The sequence below is a fragment of the Homo sapiens genome, chromosome 9 (genome assembly GCF_000001405.40).
Source record: "Homo sapiens chromosome 9, GRCh38.p14 Primary Assembly".
NCBI lineage: Eukaryota > Metazoa > Chordata > Mammalia > Primates > Hominidae > Homo > Homo sapiens.
In genome coordinates, this window is record NC_000009.12 from 36095890 (window position 1) to 36109312 (window position 13423).

The 13423-nt window shown below is 40.1% G+C and overlaps 1 protein-coding gene across 3 annotated transcripts in view, besides 1 other annotated feature; it reads left to right on the plus strand.

Moving 5' to 3' along the window:
* RECK (reversion inducing cysteine rich protein with kazal motifs) overlaps window positions 1–13423 on the plus strand; it is an 87543-nt gene that overhangs the window by 58977 nt on the left and 15143 nt on the right. For all 3 annotated transcript variants that reach the window (NM_001316345.2, XM_017015207.2, NM_021111.3), the window contains 4 exons: window positions 4442–4654; window positions 6205–6341; window positions 9254–9394; window positions 12087–12275. In NM_001316345.2, coding sequence (NP_001303274.1) covers window positions 4442–4654; window positions 6205–6341; window positions 9254–9394; window positions 12087–12275 — 680 coding nt within the window. The remainder of the gene's footprint in view (window positions 1–4441; window positions 4655–6204; window positions 6342–9253; window positions 9395–12086; window positions 12276–13423) is intronic.
* Window positions 6410–6910: an enhancer, noted in NCBI's record as "H3K4me1 hESC enhancer chr9:36102296-36102796 (GRCh37/hg19 assembly coordinates)". NCBI's record gives its function as "activates a minimal SCP1, AML or CMV promoter by ChIP-STARR-seq in primed H9 embryonic stem cells {active_cell/tissue: H9 hESC(primed)}" and the evidence as "EXISTENCE:reporter gene assay evidence [ECO:0000049][PMID:30033119]".

Consider the following 13423-nt stretch of genomic DNA (forward strand, 5'->3'; position numbering starts at 1 on the left):
GTGAAACCCCGTCTTTACTAAAAATACAAAAAAAAAATTAGCCAGGCATGGTGGCGGGCACCTGTAAACTTGGGAGGCTGAGGCAGGAGAATCTCTTGAACCTGGGAGGCGGAGGTTGCAGCGAGCTGAGATCACATCATTGCACTCCAGCCTGGGCAACAAGAATGAAACTCCATCTCAAAAAAAAAAAAAAAAAAATTTGCTGGGTGTAGTGGTGTGCATCTGTAGTCCCGGCTGCTCAGGAGGCTGAGGTGGGAGGATGGCTTGAGCCTGGGAGGTGGAGGTTGCAGTGAGCCAAGATCATGCCATTGCACTCCAACCTGGGTGACAGAGTGAGACCCTATCTCAAAAAAAAAATTTTAAAAGGCTGGGCATGGTGGCTCACGCCTGTAATCCTAGCACTTTGGGAGGCCGAGGTGGGTGGATTACCTGACGTCAAGAGTTCAAGACCAGCCTGGCCAACATGGTGAAACCTCGTCTCTACTAAAAATACAAAAACTAGCCGGACATGGTGTCGGGCACCTGTAATCCCAGCTACTCAGGAGGCTGAGGCAGGAGAATCGCTTGAACCCGGGAGGTGGAGGTTGCAGTGAGCTGAGATTGTGCCACTGCACTCCAGCCTGGGCAACACAGCAAAAACTCTGTCTCAAAAAAAGAAAAAATAAAATAAAATAAAATAAATAGAAACATCTTTTCAACAAATAATACTAGAATAATTGAATATCTTTATGGAGGGGGAAAAAATGAACCTCAACCTGTGTTTCACACCCTACACAAAAAACTGCTTCCAGATGGATCATAGAACTAAACATAAAAACTAAAAATTTAAAGCTAATAGGAGAACATCTTCACAAACTTTGTGTGGGCAAAGATTTTGTAGACAGGACACAAAATATACAATTTTAAAAGAAAAAAATGAATTAGACTTCAACCGTAAAATCTTTTGTTTGCCAAAAGACATCATTTAAAACTTGAAGGGTCAAGTCATAGACTTGAGAGGGAATGTTCAACATATCATGCACAGGTGTGTGCATACACACACACACACACACACATATTTGTCAAAGAGCTTGTGTATCCAGACTACATAAATAACTCCTACAACATCATGATAAAAAGTAAAACAACTCAATTTTAAAATTATGCAAAAAAGGCCAGGTGTGGTGGCTCACACCTGTAATCTCAACACTTTGGGAGGCCGAGGCAGGTGGATCACTTGAGGTCAAGAGTTCAAGGCCAGCCTGGCCAACATGGTGAAACCCCGTCTCTACTAAAAATATTTTTAAAAATTAGCTGGGCGTGGTGGCAGGCACCTGTAGTCTCAGCTACTTGGGAGGCTGAGACAGGAGAATGGCTTGAACCTAGGAGGTGAAAGTTGCAGTGAGCTGAGATCGCGCCACTGCACTCCAGCCTGGGCGACAGACCAAGACTCCATCTCAAAAAAAAAAAAAAAAAGAAAAAAATTGTGCAAGAAACTTTCAAAGACCCTTTACCGAAGAAGGACATCACAATGGCCATTTAATCAAGTATATGAAAAAATGTTCAACATCACTAATTATCAGTGAAATACAAATTAAAACCACAATGAACTATCCCTTCACGTGTTAAAATGGCTATTATCAAAAAGATGGAAGATAACAATTGTTAGCAAGGATGTGGAGAAAAGGGAAGTCTTGTACACTGTTGATGGAAATGTGAGTTAGTACAGCCATTATGGGAAACAGTATGGGGGGTCCTCAAAAAATTAAAGATAGAAGGTACCATATGATCCAGCAATTCCACTACTAGGTACATATCTAAAGGAAAGGAAATCAGCGTGTTGAAGAGATATTTCACTCCCACATTCACTGCAGCATTATTTACAATAGCCAAGATGTAGAATCAACCTGTATTCATCAATGAATGAATGAATGGATAAAGAATATGTGGTATATATACACTGTGGAATCCTATTCAGCCTTTATAAAGAAGGAAATCCTGTCGTTTGCAACAATATGAATGAACCTGGAGGACACTAAATAAAATAAGCCAGGCACAGAAAGACAAATACTGCACAATCTCACTTATATGTGGAATCTAAAAAAATCAAACTCATGGAAGCAGAGAATAGAATAGTGGTTACCAGAGGGTGGCTGGAAAAGGTGGTGCAGGAGGAGGAGAGAGAAGAGGGAGGAGAGAGGGGAGAGGATTGGGAAAATGTTGGTCAAAGGACACAAAATTTTATTTAGACAAAAGGAGTAAGTTCAAGAGATCTGTTATACAATGTGGTAACTATAGTTAACAGTGAGTTGTATACTTGAAAGTTGCCAAGAGAGTAGATGTTAAATGTTCTTACCACAAAAAAATTATAAGTATGTGAGGTAATGCATATTTTAATTAGCTTAATTTAGCCATTCCACATGTGTCATGTTTAAATATATTACGTTGCACACAATAAATATATAATTTTTGTCCATTTAAAAAATTTAAAAGAAATAGCCATCTAGTTCATTAAAGGCTTCATTATTATCAGTCATGGCAAAATACAAATTAAAATAGCAATTCAGTGCCTCCTCACCCTCACAAGAATGCCTGAAATTAAAAGACTGGTAAGCATATGAAGCAAGTGGAATTCTTGTAGTATGTTACTACTGGGAGTAGAAGATAGTTTGAGGATTTGGAGCTTTTTTTCAGTTTCTTCAAAAGTTAAATCTATGACCTAACAATTTTATCCTGAAGCATTTACCCAAGAGACATGAAAACATATGTCCAAATAAAGACCTGTCTAGTACCCTTATTCGTAATAGCCCAAAAAATGGGGGAGAGGAACCAAAACATCTATCAGGAGAATGAAAGAATATAACATTGTGGTGCATCCAAACAATGGGATAGCAATGGATGAATCTTACATTGAGAAAAAAAGCCCAACACAAAATACATTCTTGACACATGAGATCCAAGAATAGGCAAATGTAATCTATGGTGATAAAGATCAGAATATCCTTTCCTCTGCTGGAATCAGGGATTGACTAGAGGGGGCACAAGGGTACTTTATAGGGTGATGAAAATGTTCTAGCCCAGGCATGATGGCTCACACCTATAATCCCAACACTTTGAGAGGCCAAGGTGAGCAGATCGCTTGGGCCCAGGAGTTTGAGACCAGCCTGGGCAACATGGCAAAACCTTGTCTCTAAAGAAAATACAAAAATTAACCAGGTGTGGTGGTGGGTGCCTGTAGTCCCAGCTACTTGGGAGGCTGAGGTGGGAGGATCACCTGAGCCCACAAGGTCGAGGCTGCAGTGAGCTGTGATCATGCCACTGCACTCCAGCCTGGGTGACAGAGTGAGAACCTGTCTCAACAACAACAACAACAACAACAACAACAACAACAACAACAACAACAGTGGAGCTTTCCAGTGGCTATAAAACATGTGATACAACAACAGATTGAATGCAGAAGCAGATATGAAAATCCACCTGAGTTCTATTAAGCCAGACATTACAGAGATTTGCAAAACTGTAAAACAGTCCTATCCTTCTCGCTAATGTTTACTTTGGAAAATAGTTATTTTTCATAAAAATACTTATATTAACATGTAGTGGGTTTATTATAATTTTAAATAACTTGATAACTACTTTAAATTTTGCTTAAATTTTTTTCAACATGGGGTATTCCTTTATTGCCCAGGCTGGCCTCGAACTCCTGGGCTTAAGCAATCCTCCTGCCACACCTCCTGAGTAGCTGGAACTAGAGGCGTGCCACAATTTTTTTGTTTGTTTGTTTTTGTTTTTTTTTAGTAGAGATGAAATCTTGCTATGTTGCCCAGACTGGTCTCAAACTCCTGAGCTCAAGCTATCTTCCTGCCTTGGCCTCCCAAAGTGCTAGGATTGCAGGTGTGAGCCACTGCACCCAGCCTAGAACAGGCGAAATTAATCTATGGTGATATAAGTATAAATAGTTATGGCCTCTGAGTTGCAGTCAGTAGGGAGGCATTAACTCAACAGTGGCACAAGGGAACTGGCTGAAATGTTGGATGGGTTCCTTAATTGATTTAGATGTGCTTATGGATGTACATATTTGTCAAAGCACACCAAGCTGTACCCATAAAATTGGTGCATTTTGCTTTTGTAAATTATGTTGCCATTTTAAAAAGTTGGCCTCATAATATTTATTTTATGAAATGAAATGGGATAGTCTGGGGATAATAGTCCTGTTTGGAGAATTGTGAAGTTTTAAACTGCCCCACAAGAATCTGTTAAAAAGAAAACATGCAATCAGAGTTTAATGCTAGTGTCTACACTGAATCTTCATACAATCGAAGCTGATATCCTTTCATGGGTTGTATGTGCTTTCTTAAGAAAACCAGATTTTTCTGATGCATTAGTATGTCAGGATTTTACTTGTTGCTTCTCTCTAGAAAATAATTGCCTCTTGATTCTTTCTGGCCTTTTTTCTCTTTAGGCCAACAGAACTTTTCAGGAGTTGTAATGCACAGTCAGATCAAGGAGCCATGAATGACATGAAGTTGTGGGAGAAAGGAAGCATAAAGATGCCATTTATCAATATACCTGTTCTTGATATTAAAAAGTGCCAGCCAGAGATGTGGAAAGCAATAGCTTGTTCACTGCAGATTAAACCTTGTCATAGTAAATCTCGGGGAAGTATTATTTGCAAGTAAGTTTCTTTCATCCTAACGATTCTCCAGCTTTAGTTCAGACCCTCCGTGATCTCTAGCCAGAGCCTCTCCATAGAATTTTCTCTCTTACCACTTCCTTTGCCTATCACCCCCGTATGTCAAATGCTTTCCCACTTTTTCCTCCTCTAGTTGAAATACTGCTCCCCTCATCACCACCTACTGGCTGTCCTTGTCTCCTCTGAAATACCAGACATTCCTGTAGTCTTCCCAGATTTCTCCAGCTGAAAGTAATTTATCCTTACTACAGATTCCTATAGACCTTTATTTGTACTTCTCTTATGGAACTTAGTTCATGAAACATTTATTAAATACCTCTGATGCACAATTCTATTTTTATATGTTAATTTATGGACTTGTCTTATATTCTGTTAGACTTTGCTCTTCTTCTTCTTTTTTTGTTTTGTTTTGTGTTTTTTTTTTGAGATGGAGTCTCACTCTGTCGCCAGGCTGGAGTGCAGTGGCATGACCTCAGCTCACTGCAACCTCCACCTCCCAGGTTCAAGCAATTCTCCTGCCTCAGCCTCCCGAGTAGCTGGGACTACACGCCCAGCTAATGTTTGTATTCTTAGTAGAGATGGGGTTTTACCATGTTGGCCAGGATGGCCTCAATCTCTTGACCTGGTGATCCACCCGCCTCGGCCTCCCTAAGTGCTGGGATTACAGGCCTGAGCCACTGCGCCCAGCCGACTTTGCTCTTCTTAAGGAGCTTATTTTGCTTAGGAAATCAAGGATCAAGTAAAGATAGGAGCTGCTATAGTGGGTGAAACCAAAAGCATTTAACACATAGTAATCTGCCCATTGTTCTTCACATATCTTTTTTTCCAAAAGTTTTCCAAAACCAAGTTAATATCCAGCCCCTAAGCTGTTGGTATGTGGCTCAGTGCTGCTGGATACCTTAATAATTTCAACCTTAAACAGAGTCCAGTCTATTCTCTGACATGGCTTCGGGATAACCTGATGGGGAAATACTGAGGTATAACAATTAGGTGACAAGCAAGAGGCAACAAGAGGGGAATATGTAGACTCTTAGCACAGAAAACTTGTAGGAGTCAAATCCCTATTGAAGACCAAGAACATTTTAAAGTAGTGGACTTTCTAGTTGTTATAGGCCAGATGCTAATGTTGATAACTAAAAAGAGACTTAGATAAGGAAGGGAAGGCAAAAGAGGCAAGCAAGCAAACAAGCCAGCATAAGGTCCTAGAAGTGAGGATATATGATTTTTGCAGAGAGTAAATCAGACTAGCTTCATTTAATTTCCTTTCAAAGATACTGAAAAGCCACATTGCTGGTAGTAACAGTACGAAGAAGTGTACAATTTGAGTAAGGGCTTTGGTCTCAGACAACAGAAAGTTAGGGGTGCTTTCAATTTATTATTCAACCTGAGCTCTCCTGTGACTCTTGTTCTCTTTTGAAACATGTTAAGTTATGAAAGCTTACTTTCTGGAAAGCTTCAGAAACAAGTGATGTTGACTGGACAACATGAGGAGGTTCCTCAAGCTCTAAACTTACGTGCATTTTTTTTTCAAGATCAGATTGTGTGGAGATTCTTAAAAAATGTGGAGACCAGAACAAATTCCCTGAAGACCACACAGCTGAAAGTATTTGTGAGCTTCTGTCACCTACAGATGATCTGAAGAATTGTATACCTTTGGATACATACCTCAGTAAGTACTTTTTTGTATGTGTGTTTTTAGATTTCAAATACTTCTCTCTTCCAACTATTTGTTTTACTATTTGTTTTGGATGAGCATTTATCTGTTGAGAACATGGGATTCAATGATACCATCTCAATCACAGACTCTTGTTTGCTTGGCCTTTTTGGCCCAGGAAAGAATTGTTGTTTTAAAATATGTAAGCAGAAGTGATTCTATCAGTCTGAGGAGGTACCAACTGTGGTCAGTCAGGAATTCTAAGCAGTGACTCAGGGGGCCAGCATTCTCAGATAACCAGCTCCATATCATTGCTGTCTTCTTACCATAATAATGACTAGAAAGTGGAATTTACCCCCAGAGACTATCAGCCTTTTGTCATCAGAGTGTCAGTGGATGAGAGCCAGGAATTGGCTTGGACTTACTCACCCAACAGGGTATAAAAAAATGATAGTCTAGGCCAGGCGTGGTGACTCAAGCCTGTAATCCCAGCACTCTGAGAAGCTGAGGCAGGCGGATCACGAGGTCAGGGGATCGAGACCATCCTGGCTGACATGGTGAGACCCCGTCTCTACTAAAAATACAAAAAAATCAGCCAGGCGTGGTGGCGGGCGCCTGTAGTCCCAGCTACTCCGGAGGCCGAGGCAGGAGAATGGCGTGAACCTGGGAGGCAGAGCTTGCAGTGAGCCAAGATTACACCAATGTACTCCAGGCTGGGCAACAGAGCAAGACTCTGTCTAAAAAAAAAAAAAAAAATTATAGTCTAGCTTAATATGTAAAAATGGAACTTATCTCACTGCTTCAGTTTTTCTCTGCCAAATACTCCCGCCAAAAGCTAGAAGAGCGTGTTGCTATCTCATTGAGGGATCCTGGAGCTGGAGCTCAGCTTCTTGGCAGTGAGACCCATACATGGTGGAAACCAGGGGATGACAAGTAGAACTCCTACACACCCAGTAGTTAAGGGAAGTGTTCAGGCTGCCACCAGGGGGCATCTGTGCCATGATCTGGCTACAAAGGTAGACAGTGAAGTCAGCCTTTGTTTTCCTGTGTTAGGTAGGATTAACAAAAAACAGAACAAATAGAAGTAAAGAAAGCCCAGAAACAAATAGTCTAGGGCTTCATCATCAGGAATCCAGGCTCCTTTTATCTTTCCCCACCATCCTTAGCATTTAGCTTCAGTCATCAAGATTACTTAATGTACTTTGTCATCACAACATGGCTATTGGAGTTCTAACCACCATAATCTAGTTCCAGAAGGTAAAAAGGAAGGGACAGAGCAAACAACTTCTCCCTAGTCACACTGTCCATCCCTAGTTGTAAGGAAAACTGAGAAAGGTTATTTTTTAAGCTCTGGGCCCATTGCGGCCCTAAGTAAAATTGGAGATCTTTTAGTAATCAGGGAGAGAAAAGTATGTGCTGGATTTGTAGCTGGTAGATTTGTAGCTGGTAGATTTGTAGCTGGTAGTATTCGCCATATTTTCTCAAGGCCAACAAACTGTGTCCCTTAACCTTTGTGACCAATATAGCAAAAAAGAGAGCATTAGACTGGAATTTAGACCTTTGTGTCTTTGAGCAGATCACTTCTTTGAGCCTCGGCTTCCCTATTTATGAAATAATTAGGCAAAATGAGATGAACTCCAAGGGCCCTTATACCTCTGTTAGTCTTAGAGTATGAGTCTGGCCTAAAATCAAGTAAGCAACACTTATTGTATTTATAATTCTAGATTCTATTACAGCAGGCAAATATTTGTGTAGAAGGAAACTATATCAATGGGAGGAAAATTAAATATCTCTTTAAATATCACACATGGTTTCTATCAAGTGAGACTCTTCCTTGGCCATGATTTCCGAAGTTAAATATAATCATGGTTTGGAGTCCATACATATTACCATAATAAATTCTCATTTATGATAAAACACGCTAAATTATCCTTCTTAGACATCTTATTTGACCACCCTATCCAAAATATACCTGTCATTTTTTATCCCCTGACACTACTTATTACTTACAATTTTCTGACTTAATTATTTATTTATAGATACACATATACATACATAGCATGTGTGTGTGTGTGTGTATATATATATATATATATATATATATATATATATTTTTTTTTTTTTTTTTTTTTTTTTTTTTTTTTTTTTGAGATGGAATCTTACTCTGTTGCCCAGGCTGGAGTGCAGTAGTGCAATCTCGGCTCATTGCAGCCTCTGCTTCCCAGGTTCAGGCCATTCTCCTGCCTCAGCCTCCCGAGTAGCTGGCACATGCCACCACGCCCAGCTAAATTTGAGGGGGGGCTTTTTTTTTTGAGAAAGAGTTGCACTCTGTCTCCCAAGCTGGAGTGCAGTGATGTGATCTCGGCCCACTGCAACATCTGCCTCCCGGGTTCAAGCAATTCTCCTGCCTCAGCCTCCTGAGTAGCTAGGATTACAGGCACCTGCCACCATGCCCAGCTAATTTTTATATTTTAGTAGAAACAGGGTTTCACCATGTTGGCCAGGCTGGTCTCAAACTCCTGGCCTCCGGTGATCCGCCCGCCTCAGCCTCCCAAAGTGCTGGGATTACAGGCGTAAGCCACTGTGCCCAGCTCATACATAGTGTATTTATTGTCTGTTTCTCTACTAGATGTAAACTCTATGTTAGAGACTTGTCTATTTTGTTCATCACTGTATCTCCAGCACCTAGAACCTTGCCTGGAATATTGTAGATCCCAATAAATTTAAAAAAAGAATGAATGTATGTTTATGTGAAATTCATCATTTCACAAATGAAAGAATCTCGGTGTTTTAATAGCTTGGTAGAATCAGGCCTTACTTTACACTCATGAGCTCTTCATTTATTCCAGCCATAATTAATTCAGATAATTTACAGTTTTCTCTTACTCTTTTAGGTTGGTTAAACTAATCTGTTTTGGTTTTTTCAGGGCCAAGTACTTTAGGTAACATTGTAGAAGAAGTGACTCATCCCTGTAACCCAAATCCTTGCCCTGCCAATGAGCTCTGTGAAGTAAACCGAAAAGGATGTCCATCTGGAGATCCCTGTCTTCCATACTTTTGTGTTCAAGGTAAGAGGTAGGTGGGTGTGAGAAGAGGATGGATAGGTGCTGCTAGTGTTTCTTTATAGGAGCTATCTTTCTTTTTTTCAATCCTGCTCCTTCTGTAATATAGGGGTTATCTTCGGAGTGAGATTATGAGGGACTTCATGTTCTATATTATGTTTTTCTATAATGTTTTGAGATTTTCTCATTAAACATGTATTATTGATGTAAGCAGGAAAAGACAGACACTTGTAATCCTCCATTGTTATTTAAATTGTAAACTAATAATAACAGTCTAAAACTTGACTCTCGTGAGTTGCAGGGTTCTAGACTATGAAAGAAAAGAAGCTCAGACCAGCTTTTTGTACTTTCTCTTCTATGTTGTAATGTTTGAAAAAAAATACTCTACATTGTTCATGTTTTTTCTTTCCTTTCCTTTAGTATATAGAGAAATAGCATATTCAATAGAATGTATAGCTATCTCCATAAAGATTAATGTTATGTTGAAATATATATAACTTTAAGGGTGAAGGATTTTTATCCCATAGAATTATGATAGTCTTTATCTTTCTGTCAATCCCTTTAGAATATAGTTGTTGCAACATTTTGCTTCTTTTTATCTATTTCCCAATTGAGAATGTTTCTTTATCATGTTAGAATCAAGATTTTAAAAAAGGCCAGGCGCAGTGGCTCACGCCTGTAATCGCAGCACTTTGGGAGGCCAAGGCGGGCGGATCACGAGGTCAGGAGATCGAAACCATCCTGGCTAACATGGTGAAACCTTGTCTCTACTGAAAATACAAAATATTAGCCGGGCACGGTGGGCGCCTGTAGTCCCAGCTACTCGGGAGGCTGAGGCAGGAGAATGGCGTGAACCCGGGAGGCGGAGCTTGCAGTGAGCCAAGATCGCGCCACTGCACTCCAGCCTGCCGGACAGAGCCAGACTCCGTCTCAAAAAAAAAAAAAAAAGATTAAAAAAAAACGTTTTTTTTTTTGAGACGGGGTTTCACTCTTGTTACCCAGGCTAGAGTGTAATGGCACTATCTTGGCTCACTGCAACCTCTACCTCCTGGGCTCAAGCAATTCTCCTGCCTCAGCCTCCCAAATAGCTGGGATTACAGGCACCCACCACCATGCCCAGCTAATTTTTGCATTTTTAGTAGAGACAGCAGGGTTTCACCATGTTGTCCAGGCTGGTTTTGAACTCCTGACCTCAGGTGATCTACCTACCTCAGCCTCTCAGAGTGCTGGGATTACAGGTGTGAGCCACTGCGCCCGGCCTTAAAATATTTTTAAAGTAAAATAAAGCAAAAGATGAAATAAGCATGATGTCTCAAAGGATCATCTATAATATATGTGTAATACTGTAATATATCGGCTATAGAGTCATAATCTTGTCAAAATTGGAAATGTCGGACTGTTTTAAATTTCAAGATAGTATTTTCTGTCCATTTACCCTTACATTATAAGTTGGTCAGTATTTTCTTTGGCAAGAAAATAAGATATAGTTACTTAAAATGGTGACATCTGTATTTCATATTATTTAAATATATAATTCAATTCAGGGGCCGGGCGCAGTGGCTCACACCTGTAATCCCAGCACTTTGGGAGGCTGAGACAGGCAGATCACGAGGTCAGGAGATCAAGACCATCCTGACTAACGCGGTGAAACTCCATCTCTACTAATAATACAAAAAAAATTAGCCGGGCATGGTGGTGGGCACCTGTAGTCCCAGATACTCAGGAGACTGAGGCAGGAGAATGGCGTGAACCTGGGAGGTGGAGCTTGCAGTGAGCCGAGATCGTGCCACTGCACTCCAGCCTGGGCGACAGAGCGAGACTCCGTCTCAAAAAAAAAAAAAAAAAAAAAGGAATTCAATTCAGAATCCTCTTGTTTCATTAAACTCAGAAAACCCATCATATAATAAGATAGAAAATGGAAAATGGGTTTTCCATAAGCCCACCCAAATATTCAGTTTTTCCTTGAATTTAAGGTATACTTGTTTTCCATCACTAAAAGTTTTTCTGAACAATATTATTCTAAAAATACTGGCCAGGCGCGGTAGCTCACGCCTGTAATCCCAGCACTTTGGGAGGCTGAGGTAAGTGGATCACGAGGTCAGGAGTTTGAGACCAGCCTGGCCAATATGGTGTAACCCCATCTCTACTAAAAATACAAAAATTAGCCGGGTACAAAAATTAGCTGGGTGTGGTGGCACACGCCTGTAGTCCCAGCTACTTGGAAGGCTGAGGCAGAAGAATCACTTGAACCCGAGAGGCAGAAGTTGCACTGAGCCAAGATCGTGCCACTACACTCCAGCCTGGGCAACAGAGCAAGACTCCGTCTCAAAAAAAAAAAAAAAAAAATACTGTTAGTTTCCCTATTCTATTTTTTAAAATATCTGTGATTTTAAAATATTTTTTACTAGCCCCTACAAATAAAAAGTTACATATCTTACAGCACTGTTATACTGAATGATAGGTCACTTTGGGGTACAGATCTGTAATCACCACCATCCTCCAGAATGTGGAATTTTAATTTGAGAGGTATGTTTTTGGCCAATGAACCAAAGCAATTCCTTAATTTGGTGAAAGTTCTATTACATAATCTTTAATAGTGATTTAGTACCTATAAGACTTTTATCAAGTGTATATCTAATGTTATAAAACAATGTCATAGAACAGTACCATCTCTCTCAGCTAATTTTTGCTTGTACAGGTTGCAAACTGGGAGAAGCTTCTGATTTCATTGTCCGTCAAGGGACACTAATCCAGGTGCCATCATCTGCAGGGGAAGTTGGTTGTTATAAAATCTGTTCATGTGGACAAAGTGGACTCTTAGAAAACTGTATGGAAATGCACTGTATAGACCTCCAGAAGTCTTGTATTGTTGGAGGAAAAAGAAAAAGTGAGTCTTAAGCTCTGATTTTGTTTTTAATATGAGATTAGTTATTTTTACTTTGTAGGAAGAATACTGGATAGATTCTGACCACAGAGTAAGGTCTGCATATCAGATACTCCAGGGCAGTATTTTTCAAACTATACAGAGCACTAGGACTTCTAAGGAAGTCTTTAGAAGTCCCCTCAATAAGGGGCTAATGGCTAATAATAATTAATATTTATTGAATTCTAATCATGTGCTAAACACAAAGCTAAGTCTTGCCTTACATTATCTCATTAAATCCTCCAAGTTACACTTTGATATAGGTAATAATAATACCTGTATTACCCTTACTGCATAGATGAGGAAGCTGATGCTTAAAGAGTTCACCCAGCTAGTAAATGACCAAAGCTGGATTCTGCTCCAGGTCTAGTTGACTCCAAATCCCTTACGCTTCACAGGCCAAGGACACAGGTAATCTTCCCCCGACCCTTTCTTCAGGCATACCCCACCCCACCCTCACTTCACCAGAAGTGAAACTCAGATTTTGACATCATGGAAAGCAAGTGGGTGTAGGAACTACACTGTTAGGAGTTTGGAAAAAAAGTACATTAAAAAGTACTTTGACCACCTTCCCTAAAAATCTTAGACTCCACTGCTTCCTTAACCATCTTTTGCTTGTAGCCCCAACAACTATTCATGTCAATATATGATTTCAAACAATTGTGAAAAAACACCACTTTTTAGGATCTGTTCCCTCCCCACAAGCTCACTCTGCTACCCCATTTCTACTCCCATCCCCTACCCCTTCAACCATAGTAGTTCAGCTTTTATATGCTTTTTGGTTTACTCTTCTGTGTGAGATTTGATTAGAAAGAAGAGTGCTCTTGGCTAAAATTAGCTCTCAAATTTCTGCCTTAGAGCAAGTCAGGTATTTATCTCTCAATCCATATTCTGCTTGACTAAACTATGAAGGTAGGTACTTTGTATCACAGAAAATATCAGGACAGATTCATTCCTTCTGTAACATTTCACTGACTAAATGCCTATTCTGTACAAAAGAGCATACTAGTGCCTTATGGAGCTGAAACCGGGACGGGGGATGAGATCATGCTTTATGTGTTAAGATAAGAGAATTTGAGCCAAAAAAAGTTGCAGACCAAGTGCTCTTCTGG